General features: G+C 36.7%; 1 annotated feature.

Annotated features, from left to right (window-relative positions):
- Positions 12,989–13,851: an enhancer, noted in NCBI's record as "H3K27ac-H3K4me1 hESC enhancer chr13:71415058-71415920 (GRCh37/hg19 assembly coordinates)". NCBI's record gives its function as "activates a minimal SCP1, AML or CMV promoter by ChIP-STARR-seq in primed H9 embryonic stem cells {active_cell/tissue: H9 hESC(primed)}" and the evidence as "EXISTENCE:reporter gene assay evidence [ECO:0000049][PMID:30033119]".

Here is a 15,663-nt window from a genome sequence, read left to right on the forward strand (position 1 = left end):
GAATTTCTTACAGCTTCTTAGGCAGAAAGAAAAACTTACTAACAAAGGAAATCGCATTAAACTTTCATGTTCTCTTCTCAAACATTAGAAGCTAAATAAGAATAGAGTAGCATCTATCAACCAATGAGAGAAAGGGTCAGAAATGTAAAACCCTGTAACAGTCAAAGTAAAATTCACCTGCCATTGTAAAATAAACTCACTGGAGTGCATGCAAGAACTCAGACCATATTTCATTCATCCCTCTTGTCTATGGATAATGCTTGGAGAAAGATCCTGACCTGATACAAATAAATTCTTCCTAAAACTACAAGTGGAGAAAAATATTATAAATAGTAAAACTTTACCTCATATATATGGTGTGTGTTTGTGTGTCTAAATATATGTATATATATGTGTGTGTGTGTATATATATATATCCTGCACATTTATGGGATGTACAAAAAATTATACTCCTATTAAAATATTCTAAACAGAGTGGATATTTCCAGAGGTCTTGACAACGATTACACAAGTGAACCCCTTTTGGTGCTTTAATAAATGATAGCTGTCCTACTTTTAGTTTTTTGAGGAGCTTCCATACCACTTTTCATAATGGCCAACCAATTTACATTCCCACCGATGATGTGCAGCCACCGTTTCTTTTTTTCCACATCCTTGCCAACATGTGTTATCTTTAAGGTTTTCATACTAGTTTTTCTAAGAAGTGTGAGGTGATATCTCAATGTAGTTTTCATTTGCATTTCCCTGAAAATCAGCGATTAGCACCATTTCATATATAGTGAAACTCATAACACAAGTTATCCAGAGTTGGGAAGGAAGAAATGGGGAAATGTTAATCAAAGGGTACAAAGTTTCACTTATACAAAATGAATACATGGGGATCTAAGGTATAGCAATGTGATTATAGTTAACAATACTGTATTATAAATTTATATTTGCTAACACTTAATCTAAGTGTTCCTATCACAAAAAAGAAAAAAAAAATGGGGCTGGGTGCGGTGGCTCACGCCTGTAATCCCAGCACTTCGAGAGGCTGAGGCGGGTGGATCACCTGAGGTCAGGAGTTCAAGACCAGCCTGGATAGCATGGCGAAACCTCATCTCTACTAAAAATACAAAAGTTAGCTGGGCGTGGTGGTGGGCGCCTGTAATCCCAGTTACTCAGAAGGCTGAGGCAAGAGAATTGCTTGAACCCGGGAGACGGAGGTTGCAGTGAGTGGAGATAGTGCCATTGCACTCCACCCTGGGCAACAAGAGTGAAACTCTTCTTGTCTCAAAATAGAATAAAATAAAATAAAATAAAATAACATAACATAAAAAAGAAAGAAAGAAAAAAGAAAAGAAAAAAAATTGTAGCCTGGCACAGTGGCTTACACTTGTAATTTCAACATTTTGGGAGGCTAAGGCAGGAGGATGATTTGAGTCCAGTATTTCAAGACTAGCCTTGGCAATATAGTGAGACCTCATCTGTATAAAAAATACAAAAATTAGCTGGGAGTGGTGGTGCATGCTTGTGGTCCCAGATGCTTAGGAGGCTGAGGCAGCAGGATTGATTGAGTCCAGGAAGCTGAGGCTGCAGTGAGCCGTGTTCTGGCCACTACGCTCCAGCCTGGGCAACAGATTGAGATGCCATCTCCAAAATAATAATGATAATAATAATAATAATAATAATAATAAGGTAAAATAAAATAAATGGAACTATGTGAGGTGATAAATATGTTAACTACCTTGTGGTGATTATTTCAAAATGCATATGTGTACCAAAACAACTTTGGACAACTTAAATGTGTACATTTTTTTTTTAATTTGTCAAATATACTTCAATAAAGCTGAAAAAAAAATAACGTTGTCCTAGATACATTAAAATAGTATATCCTGTGGTGGGGCCAGGCAAGTGTAATTTTAACTCCTCCACTATAGCATCGATCTGCTTTTTAAAAATAGACTTTCTCACCTCTTTAAATGAACATAAAACCACACTTACAAACCACAGCTCTTGGTGGTTTTCTTTATTCTTACTGATGTTAAGTGGTTGGATTTTCTTTTTTGAAGTTGCTCTCTGATGATGAGCTGTGTCTTGACTGTTCTACAACTGTATGCTATGCGTCTGGCGGTCCTTGCCTCTCCTTCTTATACCACAGGTATAACTTCACAGTCCACTTGCTCAACTGAAGCTGAGCATGTCTCTGGCTGAGATCAAGTATTTTTGACATTGGCCAGGGCTATTATTCTCTGTATGATTCCTGTCTTAATTTAAGTGAATGTCATAAAAGTTATCGCTTTAGATTTCAAATGTCCGATTTTAAGATTCAAGTTTTAAGACTAAAGTGACTTTTGAGTATACTCTCAATTACATCGGCTAACATGGAAATAGAGTGGCAAGGATAATCCAACTGTCTTGGCAAACTAGAAAGCACTTATACAGCAGCTTTAACTCCACTCACGCTTTTCCACCTGGAGAACTTAAGCCATTAATATTTATTCTGTGCTCTTTCTGTGCCAAGTTAGGGTTACCAGATGCCCAGTTAAATTTGCATTTGAAAAAAAATACCTATTTTTAGTATTAGTGTGTCCCAAATATTTCATGGGACATAACTAAAATGTTATTTGCTGTTTTTCTGAAATGCAATTTTAACTGAGTGTTCTGTATATTTATATGCTAAATCTGGCAATCCTATGTCAAGCTCTACTCAAAGTAATGGAAGGAAGCAGAGATAAAACAGTACCAAGTACTATTCTAAAAGATTTATGATCATCAAAATCAATCTGCATGTCTATTGTGATTGTAAAGATGATGGGATTTTCAGAAGTGTCTCTTTTATTAATGGGAGTCACGCAGCTATTTTTAAAATTATTATTATTACTATTATGTATTTTTATTTTTTTGAGATGCAGTCTCACCCTGTCACCCAAGCTGGAGTGCAATGGCACAATCTTGGCTCACTGTAACCTCCGCCTCCCAGGTTCAAGTAATTCTCCTGCCTCAGCCTCCCGAGTAGCTGGGATTACTGGCACGCACCACCACACCTGGCTAATTTTTGTATCTTTAGTAGAGACAGGGTTTCAGCAAGTTGGCCAGGCTGGTCTCAAACTCTGACCTTGTGATGCACCCACCTTGGCATCCCAAAGTGCTGGGATTACAGGCATGAGCCACTGTGCCTGGCCTAAAATTATTTTAATGTAAGTATTTGAAAGTTTAAAATACAGAAAGAAATTAAATGGTAAAGAAAGAATTTTTATCATTCTGCTCTTGATAGTCAAAATTAAACCAAAATGTACCTAAGACTTTAAAGATGTTCTTGCATATATTAGAATAAGTCCATGTTGGGGTCTGTATGAGGCCTGCTCCAGATGATTGGCTGTGCATTTGAAGGTTTAAAACTAAGACTAAAATTCTCTATATTGGGAAAGGGTTTTATGAAACTATTTCTGAGTTCATATGGGTCAAGACATCTAACAAATATTTTGCAAAATTTTTCCATTTTTAATTATCCAACTTCTTCTTTTCAAGGGAAATGATGGTATTAAAGACAGACTACTCTAGTCTAATATCTTGAAGTAGGAGGCATTAGGTATCATGCTTCCATGTCCCCTATTATGTTATTTGCATGTCAGTATGTAATACTTAAAGGATTTATTTAAAAAATAATACCCATTGGTTTATAAAAAATTGATTTACAGAGGAGAAGGAGAGTCTTAGGAACTACCAGAGTACATGACAATTAGGTTCAAGTTTTAAAACACATAAGCAAATATCAATTCAGCAGAATTTGTTGTATACATCCCAGTAAAGTAGTCAAAAAACAGTATAGGTTCAAAAATACCTTTATTTGTCCCAGCATAAACACACAAGAGAAAGGAAGTTCAATTTTTTTTTCCTTGATGCTAAAACTCTAAAGCTTCAGGAAATTTCTTTATTACTTAGTACTGTATGTTCTAATCAAGCATAAAGAAGGAAAGTGACTACTATCAAAGGACCCATAAAAAGAGTTTATGATGTTTCAGAATCAGACAACATAAAAAAGGACATATTCAAATTAGAAACACTATTATAAAGTGTGATTCTATAAGGAATCTCCATAACAGTCTTAATAATGTGATTAAAGAGACAAAGTAATAGCAATATACACAAGTACTAATTGGAACATTGAAACCATTACGCCTCATGTGGGAGACAAGTCATAAAATTCAAAGAATATTTGTAAGAAACACCATCAGACTGGCTTTTAAGTTTTTTAGTGCCTGAGGCTAATTTTGTGAACTTGTGGTAGCAGTTGAAAATGTTTAAGATAATTCAATTGCCCTAATAACGCATACTTGTTACAGAATCTGATTATGATATTAAAAAATTAGAAAAAAATTACTTTTTCTCCACTCGGCTCAATGCTACAGTTTAGGTGAAGTCTAAAACTTAAAACAATTTCCATAATATTCCAGATAATCAAACTCCACTTAAAAAAACCCAAAACTATGTAACAATTATTGTGCTGTTGTGAGTTCCAGGTGGCTACAAGTAATAATAAGTATATATACAGTTCTGTAATTAAAGCAACATTATCAGTTCAGCATTTATGATACCATCATTCATTTATTTTTTATTTGGAAAAATGAATTTAAGGTATTGAAGTATGTCATATAAGGTAAAAATAAATTGTAGTTGAGAATAATTATTTGAGAAACTCAGAGCAAAGCAACAATAAAATAGGAAGCCATGATTACTATGTAGCCTTATACATGTTCTAATATTTGACTATAACTTAGGTCGAATATTTGACTATAATTAAGTCAAATATTAGAACATGTATAAGGCTATGTAGTAATTAATCAGGCAGCAGTTAGGTTAAAAAATATTTTAACCTTTCTAGTGGTTACGTTAAAGAAAAATATGGTCAATAAAGTCAGTTTCAAAAATATTCGCTGAAACTCTAAGAAGAAAAGTACTTTGGACAGGCCAACTTTTATTTTCAACACACATACTCTAGGAGATTCAAGTTTATATATAACAAAGGCTTGACAAATCTGGAGAAGAAATAACCGATATTAACTTGGTTTCTTTGTTAAACCAACACATTTATTAGCAAGAAGGATAACTTGTTTTGTTTTAATCCCCAAGCACCTATTAACAATATCTAGAACAGATTTTCCTTAAAAGGTGTTTGGAAAGCCTTAATTGCATTATTCACAATTAGCAGAAGGAGAAATAAACTAGTTACTCAAAAAAGGGCAAACTATCTATGATGGGAAGCAGAAATTTCTCTCATACGCTCATGAAAAGATGATAAAACAACATATAAGCAATAGTCTTAACAGCACTCATAATTATAGCAAAGAGTTTCACAGAGTTCTTTAATAAGAGATTTCAAAAAAGGTCAATAATATAAAGGCCAAGTGCAATTCATAAAAAGCAATACTAAGAAAAGAAAAAATAATGCAGTTTAAGTTGTAAGGTTTCTGCTGGTCTTGAGCGAGATGTGAAAAAATAACTATAGTGTGCACATGGATTTAAAGAATTGAAAGAATGGTCTGCCCATCAGACAGGCCTCTAAGTAACATGCTTTTCTACACCACGAAGATAAAATAAAAGTTTTCTCCTCCCTCATTAGCTAGTTGGTGTGGCTAGTTAATTACAGGGCCATATGCTTTTAAGGCAGTTAATCCAGAGGTAGAACTAATGCCTCATCAAAGTTGAGGAATCTCAAAAGAATATTTTTTTCTGAAAAGAAAGACTGCATATTGGCATTCATACATCATGACTTAATGTCTTTTATGTATCATTTTTCTCACCTATAGTTTGAGAATTTTAAAAATACCAACCACATAGGTCTGTTGTAATAATGAAATGGTGTTGATAATTGTATCTGGAAGGTAGTGAATGATATAAACATTTATGTGTTGATGGTGGTGGTGGTGGTGGTGGTGGTGGTGGTGATGTATTTGGTAGTGGTAGTGGCAGTGGCAGCAGAGAAAAAATAACCTAAAACACAGATAAGATTTCAACCAAAAATAATCTTCTAAAGATATTGTTAATTTCATACAAAAAAAGGAAAAATTATTCATAGACATGTAAGTGAATGTCTGCCATGGCATGGTGGCAACCTATTTGCCTCCATATAAGCCACAGAAGGAAAGCTCTACTGCACCCTCACCTAATTCTTGGTAGATGCTTTTGATTCTCCCTGGAACATGTCAAGGTAGGCAGTCTTGTGAAGAACTATCATAGGAACATTTCTCATCTACCTCTCTATTTCGTGGGAGACTCTGTCTCTTACAGAAGACTCCGATGAGACAATTTCTCATCCAACTCTCTGGAGCTAGTGAGGCATGGAAATTTTAGTCTTGACTCACTAAGGTAGAATAGAAGGTATGAAACCACTTCACTGTAGTCTTGAATTGGCTCCTTAGTGATGAAACAACCCATTGCTCATGGTGTCAATTATCTGATCCCTCTAGGTTAGTGTCATCCTTTGTTGACACAACTGACTGACATCATGCTGATCAGGCTTATGCTGTTAACATAATAAACTAACTAAAGTTAGTTTATTATCATAAAGGTCATGTTATTTTTTGGTAGGCTGAATATATGCAATGTTGGCAAAGCCACTGTGAAGCTGCAGTAGTCACTGCTACTTAGGAACTGTTGATCTTTTGAAAAACTAAAGATTCACTCTAACCTAGGAAAAATGTCTAACAAGGTTTTGGTATAAATGACCACAAATATTTGACATAACTACTTGAAGAGAGTAGAATAGTGGTTACCATGGGCTAGATAGGGATGAGGGAGTTGGGGAGATGTTGGTCAAAGAATACTACATTTCAGTTAGACAAGAGGAATAAGTTTGGGAGAGTTATTGTACAACACAATAATTGTAGTTAATAACAATGTATTGTTTGCTTACAAATTGTTAATTAATAGAGTAAACTTTATGAGTTTTCCCCATAAAAAGTTGTGAAGCTATGCATATGCTAATTAGTTCCAGTTAATCATCCCACAATATATAGCTATTTCAAAATAACATGTTGTACATGATAAATATATACAATTTTTATCAATAAATAAAACCAAAAAAACTACTTGAATTACAACTGATGTCCTTTTGTGACAGAATATTAATAGTAACTATAATGATAATATAATAATAGTTAATTAATATTGGTAGTAATGTACTCTGTTAAATCCTTAACATGCATTATTTTATTTAATCACCAACATATTACCAAGAGTTATTGTGGTTTATTTTGGCTGATATTAACATAGGTACTCAAATTTTTTAAGTGGCATTTTAAAGAATAACATAGATACAATGAAGATTTGGTGGGTGGAGCATATGAACCCAAGCTTTCTGACTTTGCTGTCCTCAAGATGAAACACTCTGTTGTATTATCTACCAGAATGTGGAGAGCAGTTTTATTGAAAAAATAACTGAAGAAAACAGTTACTAAAATAACTTCATAATTATGAAACAACCAAAAAAATGAGGACTAGAATACCCTGCTAAGTTTAGGATTAATTGAAGCATTTACACACAATTATTAAACACTTGGATTTCATTAAAAGTGGACAGATGTATACCATATGTCCTTATTTATCATTCGCTTTATCACATATTCTGATCTTCCATCAGAAGAAGCATATGCCACAGAAAACAGAATAGGATCAAACTAGGATTTTCAAACAGTCTTTATTTAAATTATAACTTTGGTGTACTGCCAAAAGACCATCTGCCTTATATACTAATTAGACCCATACCACTTAAAACATACAACTTAAAAACATTATTTGAAACATGGATTTACAGTTTGAAATTTCAAGATCACATTATATTTCCTAATTTAAGAAAATAATTTATCATACTAGTAGTTATTTCAAATCTTCACTACAGAAAATATTAGAATGGAAAAGGAACAATGATATGCCAAAAGAATGATCGTATTAAAGGTAGTTTTATTTTTCAAGTGCAAATTGTAGTTCAAAATAAACTAAATAGACAGGTATATCTGTGGATAGGGGTTATGTGGGAATCTTTCCACTGCAAAGAGGATCGATTATTTCCAGTTTACTACGAGCGCACAGGGATCAATTATTAGAAGAGTATACTCTGGTGGAATTTGAAGAAGGAAGTATTATCATCTAAATATAGAGCTATTTAAATTATCTATTTCTTCATGAGTAAGCTTGGATAGTTTGTGTCTTTCAAGGCATTTAAATATTTAATTCAATATGTTCAAGGTATTGATATAAAATTATAATATCCCCTTACTATTTTTAAATATCAGTAAGATATTTATGGTAGCTTTCTTCCTTCTCTCTCTCTGTCTCTCGCCTCCTCTCTCCATCTCTTTTTTCTTCTCCTTCTCACTCTCTCTCACTTTTTAGTTCACATCCATCCATATGCCTATAGATTTATTGGTTGTATTGATTTTATTTGAAATACCAGTTTTAATATCATTGATTCTTCTCTGATGTGTTTCTATTTTCTATTTTATAAATTTTGGTCATACATTACATATTTCATTCTATTTGCCTTGGGGTGAACATCTTTTTTTGGGGGGGAGGGGGTTCTAGTTTTTAAGGTAGCTATTTATTCCACTGAGTTAAACAGCTATGTTATGATATAAAACTGAAATCTATAAATTTCACTCTGAAACACTACTTTAGAACTTTAATTGCATCCCACAAAATTTGCTATGTTGTGTTTTTATTTTTATTTGATAGTAAATATTTCCTAATTTTCTTTATAATTTCTTCTGTCATGTATGGGTTACTTAAAGGTGTCTTCTTTGATTTCTACATAATTTGGGATTTTTTTCAAATATATTTTTATTATGTATTCCAGTTATTTCACTTTTGTTAGAGAACATACATTAAATAATTTATTCATCTGTATTGAAATTTTTACATATCCCTGAATATGTAATCCATGTTTTATTATTCTTCGTGCACCTAAAAAAAAGCATCTTCTGCTTTTGGAGTGTGGAATATTCCATAAATATCTGATAGGTAAAGCTGATTGACAGTGCTCCTTGAATCTTATGTATCCTTGATGATTTTCTGTCTACTTGCCCTATCACTAAGAGTGTTTAAACTGAAACTATAATTGTAGATTTATCTCTTTTTATTTTAAGCTCTATCAACTTTTGCTTCATGTATTTTGAACTTCTCTTATTAGGTTAATATATATTTAGGATTATACTTTCTTGATGAATTGACTTCCTTATCATTATGAAACATTGTACTTTATTTCAGATATTTCTTAATTGTGGTTTATTTTGGCTGATATTAACATAGGTACTCAAAGTTTTTAAGTTGTTATTGCAGGGTAGTTAGTTTTCTATCCTTCTATTTATAATGTGACTTTATATTTTAAATGAGTTTCTTACAAATAGGATACAGTTAAATCTTATGCATCTACCTAATATGGTACCACCTTTGCCTCTTAATTGGAATATTTATGGCATTTGCATTTACTGGATTTGCTGATATTGTTGGGTTTCAATACATCTTGTTCCTTGTTTTCTATTTGTCCTAATTCTTTTATCACTTCTTTTTCTCTTTTTTTTTTTTGCCTTCTTGTTGATTATTTTTATTATTTGATGTTGTTTTCAAAACTGCCCTTTTAGCTGTATATGTTGTTTTATGTTGTTACTGGTTATTATATGATTTGTGAATACATCTTTAATTTATCACTGCCTATCTTCAAATAATGTGTCACATAATCTATTCGCTGAGAACCTTAAAACAATACTCTTGCATTTCTTCTTCTTGCCGCTTTTAATGTGCTTTGGTTGTCACATGTTTTCCTTCCACATATGTGATACACACCACAGTACATTATTATTGCTTTAAACAGCCAATTATCTTTAAAAGAGATTTAAAAATTAGGAAAATGCATTTTTCTGCTCTTCACATACTTACCATATCAGACACTCTTTAATGCTTTGCATACACTGTATTCAGATTTACATTTTCCATCATGAAGAACTTATTTTAAATTTCCCTGTAGTACAGTTCTGCTAGTGATTAATTCTCTCAGCCTTTGCTTGTTTGGAAAGGGCTTGTTTTATCATCATTTCTATAATATATTTTTAGTATTTAATTTTAAATTGTCAAGCTTTTGTTTTCTTTTGTTTTGTTTTTCACTACCGTGAAAAATATCCTTGGACATACATAATTTCTGATAAGATATCTGCTGTAATTCTTTTTCTTGTTTCTCCATGTATAATGATTTCTCTTACTCTAGCTTCTTTTAAGATTTGCCTCTTTATCAGCGGATTATCAGAAATTTGCTATGTGCTTGAAGTGTTTTTAATTAATTAATTAGTTAATCCTGCTTCAGGTTTGGTGAGCTTCTTGGATGTGTAAATTTGTCACTGAAAGCAAAATTGGCTATTGATATGGTTTGGCTCTGTGTCCCCATCCAAATCTCATTTTGAATTGTAATCTCATAATTCCCGTATCTTGTAGGAGAGACCTGGTGGGAGACAACTGAATCGTGGGGGCATTTTCCTCATACTGGTCTCCTGGTAGTGAATAACTCTCACAAGATCTGATAGTTTTATAAGGTGTTTCCACTTTTGCTTCTCTCTCTTTGCCTGCTGCCATTCATGTAAGATGTGACTTGCTCCTCCTTGCCTTCCGCCGTGATTGTGAGGCCTCCCCAGCCATGTGGAACTGCAAGTCCATTAAACCTCTTTATTTTGTAAATTGCCCATTCTGAGGTATGACTTTATCAGCAGCGTGAGAACAGACTAATACAGTTTTGTTTATCCATTATTATTTCAAATATTTCCTCTCCCCTTTCTTGAACTTTAATTACACTTCTATGATAACACTTACTATTGCCCCACTGGTTATTGAGGTTATTTTGGTTTTCTCTGTATTTACTATAGTTTGGATAGTTTGTAATGCAGTGTCTACAATTTCACCAGCCCTTCCTTTGATAATGACTAAGTTTCTGTTAACCATCCTCAAACCAAGTGGCATTAAACAGTGATAATCATTTATTATTTTTATGTTTCATGGTTCTGTGGGTTTGTGGGTTAAATAGACTCAAGTAGCCAGTTCTCGCTCAGATTTCCTCATGCAGTTGCAGTCAGACAGCAGCTGAAGCTTATGTCATCTCAAAAGTTTCCTGACTTATATATTTTTTCAATTTAATCTGGATGCCACCAGAGACCTCAGCAGATCCCTTAGTGGAACCTCAACTTATGAACTAGCTGTCTCACAGCACGGTGGCTAGGCTAAAGGGTAAATATCCCAAGATAGCCAGGACCAAGAGACATTGCTTTTTCTATGCTAGATTTAGAAGTCATGAATCATTACTTTTGCTACTCACCAGCTAGTAAGAGAAAAAGTTGTTACATAAACCTGGTTTTATCTTACATGTAAAGTTCATTAATACAAGACATCAAGATATAGTTAAAAGAAAATTTAAATATTAACATTATTTATTTAATAATGAGATATAGTCTCTTTTAAATGTATTGTATTTATCTTTGAAAATGTCTGCAATTTTGCTCCACAGGGATCAGGAAGAAATTATATTAAATGTTAAAACCATATACTGAGTTATTGTTTGCTTAATGTACATTTTCAATTCCTTCCCATTATCTCATCACATGATTGACAGTATTTCTGTAATATTTTAAATATGTTGTAAGTTACAAGTTGTAAATATAAAATTATTTAGTTTATGCTAGCCATAACAATTGTTTATTTAGGGTTCTTCTATTCAACAAATATCAAGAAGAGTCCCGATACAGATGTTGGACATAAAATGAAGAGCAAACCAATCATGTCTTCTTGTCTTAATCATGCTTAAAGTTGGAAGCATATATTAATCAAATAACTGTTTAAGTATTAACTAGCTATGAACTTTTTAAAAAATCATAAGGACATATATCAGGGAGCTATAAGTCTGGGTAATCAGAAAAGTTTCCCTAAGAAAATGATATTTCAGCCAAAATATAACGGGCAAGTAAGAGACAATTGGTAATGTGAGGAAAGAGAAACAACCTTCATGGAATCTCTGAAGTAAAACATAGGATGGCTAAAGTAAGGTCAATGTGAGATATCAGCCAACAGGGAAAGAAAAACTGATTAGCAAGGAGTCTGCAGAAATAGACAGAAACCAGATCAAGTAAAGCCTTATAAAAGAAGTAAAATATTAATATTTTTGTTTGTACATAAGCATAGTGAAGGGTAGGATAAAGAGAAACAACTTTATCCTACTCGTCTTTATCCTGTTCTTCTTTATCCTACCCAAGAGAAACAACTTGAACAAATGTGCATTTAATAGGTTCCAGTTCATGATGGCTGACTACAAGCAGCTAGTGGGTGCCTCTCTCACAGAGAGGAGTTAAAATAGCAAATAAATACTAACACTTTAAGGGAATCCTTGACGAAAGCACTCTGAAATTCACCAGAGAAGCAACAGGAACCATGAAGAGCAGAAGAGAGTGAAGCCGAGTAGACTGCACAGCTGGGAGCTACATGAAGCCAGGAAAGGCTTCCTAATAAGGGGAAAGGATGAGTGAGTGACAGACCCCCGTTTCAGAGGCGTTTGAACCAGAGCAACTCCATCTTAAATACACACTGACAGAAATAAGGCTGAGACCTGCTGGCCTGCATTCCCAGACAGGTTATGCATTCTAAGTCACAGGATGAGATAGGAGGTCGGCACAAGATACAGGTCATGAAAGCCTTGCTGACAAAACAGTTTGCAGTAAAGACGCCAGCCAAGACCCACCAAAACCAAGATGGCACTGAGAGTGACTTCTGGTCGTCGTCACTGCTACACTACCATTAGTGCCATGACAGCTTACAAATGCCATGGCAACATCAGGAAGTTACCCTATGTGGTCTAAAAAGGGGAGGTATGAATAATCCACTGCTTATTTAGCATGTAATCAAGAAATAAACATAAAAATAGGCAACCAGCAGCCCTCAGTCTGCTCTGTCTATGAAGTAGCCATTTTGTTATTCCTTTACTTTCTAAATTAAACTTACTTTAACTTCAGGGACTCACCCTGAGTTCTCTCTTACACGAGATCCAAGAACCGTCTCTTTGGGTGTGGATCGGGACCCCTTTCCAGGAACACCAGGGGTTCTGCAACTCCAACATGGACCTTTACAATCCTAGTCACTGGAGAGCATCATCGATCCCCCAGTTTCTCCGGACTGAAAGAGGGAGGTGCTTCAGACTGAGGAGAGGTACTGCTCCAGCCGACGTGGAATCCAGCAGGCTTTTGATCCCCAAGCAGCCTGGCACCAGCTGTTGCTTGGGGATCAAAAGGAATGAAAGCCGGGCATCTTCGTCCACCTGGCCATAGTATAAAGGAGCAGGCAAACAATGCAAGGCGGAATCCCCTGCCTCCACTGTGTCCAGCCAAATGGGTACCCACCCCCACAACCAGGTCCCCCAGCGCAGCAGCCCTTCACTGCCTGAACACCGCAGCTCCAGATCAACATCCAGAGGCCACAGATAGGCCCTCCGTCGCTTCCACCACTGCTGCCTTTGCCCCCACCATCTGCAGGCCAGGGAAGGAACAGGGAGGTGGGGCACTTCCAGGGACCCCGCCAAAGCTGACTCGGCAGTCCTGGTGTGGAGGAGTGGGAAGCCAAGGCTTTTGCTGTGCTCTCTCAGGCAGGGTTTGACTGCTTCAGCTACAGGCCCCCGGGTGCTGTGCAGCTACCCTGCCCCCACCTGAAAATGCAGCCATTGTTTAGCATGCAATCAAGAAATAAACATAAAAATGGGCAACCAGCAGCCCTCAGGCTGCTCTGTCTATAAAGTAGCCATTTTGTTATTCCTCAGCATTGCTCTGAGAGCACAACTCCCAGAGGTTTCTGCTAGGCCCTTCCCAGTCACTGTCACCAAGGCTTCTGCCTCTGCCTTTGCCCTTGCTACCCAAAAGCCGGGAGGACATGAGGAGCCAGGACACTTCCATGCTGCCTAACGCAGAAACTGCAGCCACGGTGCAATGCACAGGGAGCAGACCAATACACAGCACTGGATCCTGATTCCCTGCCCCTATGGGGCATGCCTACTTTGGCAATGAGTCCCCAAGTGCACCCACAGTGCACTTGCCCTGCCCTTGCCTAAGCACTGCAGCTGCAGCTAAACTTCCAGAGGCTGCCAACTCCCAGAGGCTGCCAATACGCCCTGTGCAGCATCCGACACTGCTGCCTCTTCCCCTGCTGCCCGTGGGCCAAGAAGGGCATAGGGACATCAGGCACCTTTGTGCACCCTCAACAGTGAAGTCCAGTGCCACTTCTGTGGGAAGGAAGTGTGAGTGAGCCACAGGCCCCACAGCTGCCACTCTCCACTGCCCCAGATGAGGCCCATCACCTGAGCCTCTTCCTGTCCCTCCCTGAGAATTCTGCTGGTGACTTGGGAACCAGCCCAGCCATCGCTGTCACAGTCAGTACCCAAAATCTAGGCTGACATCATCCTGGTCCAGCCCATTTCAGACTTGTACACACCATCCAGTGAGCCACCTAGTGGCCTGGGAATTGGGAAATTATCTCAGCCCAGCCCGCCACTGCTGGCACCTGACCACCACCAACAGGGGCCACAGGTTGGGTGGACCCACCATCACAACTCACATCAGCCTAAAGGTGGAGCCCCTCCCCTTCCCTACACAAAGCAGCAGCATTACCCCTTGGCAGAACAGGTGAGCCATAAATCTGTCTGTATTAGGAGGACTGAAGAGGTTCCACCTGGAAACCACTGACTCCTATAGAGAGCCATGAAACAGACATTTTCCTTGGTGCTCAGCTACACAGTGGCCTGGAGATAGACAAAAGTGTGCATCTGAACACTGGAATGGGCACTGGAATAGGGGTGTGATAGAGAAGCTGATCTCATTCCTGCTGATCTAGGACATACAGCTGGTGTAGCCCTTCAATCCTCTGCAGAGACCTTGGTGCATCTCACCAGGGCTCCCTTAGCCAGACCAGTTCAGAGTTGGTGCTGCACTAGTCATTGAGGTATCCATGGGCAAGCCGGGAAACCAGCTCTGCTCATTTGTGCCCCCCTCAACTGTTGAACAGGAAGTTCAGGGCACTGGGCACTCCACTGACCAGCCCATCACCTGAAACAAAGACAGCATTTCACAGTAAACAAAAATTGAATACATATCTAGCTGCTTGTGCCTCAACTGGTTTTACCCATACAGCCACCTACTGACCTGCAGGTCAAACTGCATAGGCCAATATAAAACATGCTGATGGAAGTGCACAGGGCTATAGAAGCAAAGCCAAAAGACCCTAACCAACATACTCTATACTCACACCTCCTGGGGGAGGGGATATATATGAGAGAAAAAAAAAAACCTGAAAAAAAAGAAAAAAACATCTTCCTAGATGAGAAGGAACCAGCATAAGAATTCTGACACCATGAAAAATATAAACGAGACATCACCAAAGGATCTCACTAGCTCTCTAGCAATGGACCCTAAGCAAAATGAAAACTTAGAAATTACAGATAAAAAACTTAAAGCATGGATTGCAAAGAAGCTTAATGAGATCCAAGAGAAGGTTGAAAATCAACACAAAGAAACCATGAAAGGAACCCAAATAAGGAAGGAAAATATAAATATTTTTAAGAAAAAAATAGAGAAAGAACTTCCGAAAATGAAAAGCTCACTGAAGGAATTTCCAAAT

Source organism: Homo sapiens, chromosome 13 (genome assembly GCF_000001405.40).
Source record: "Homo sapiens chromosome 13, GRCh38.p14 Primary Assembly".
Taxonomy (NCBI): domain Eukaryota; kingdom Metazoa; phylum Chordata; class Mammalia; order Primates; family Hominidae; genus Homo; species Homo sapiens.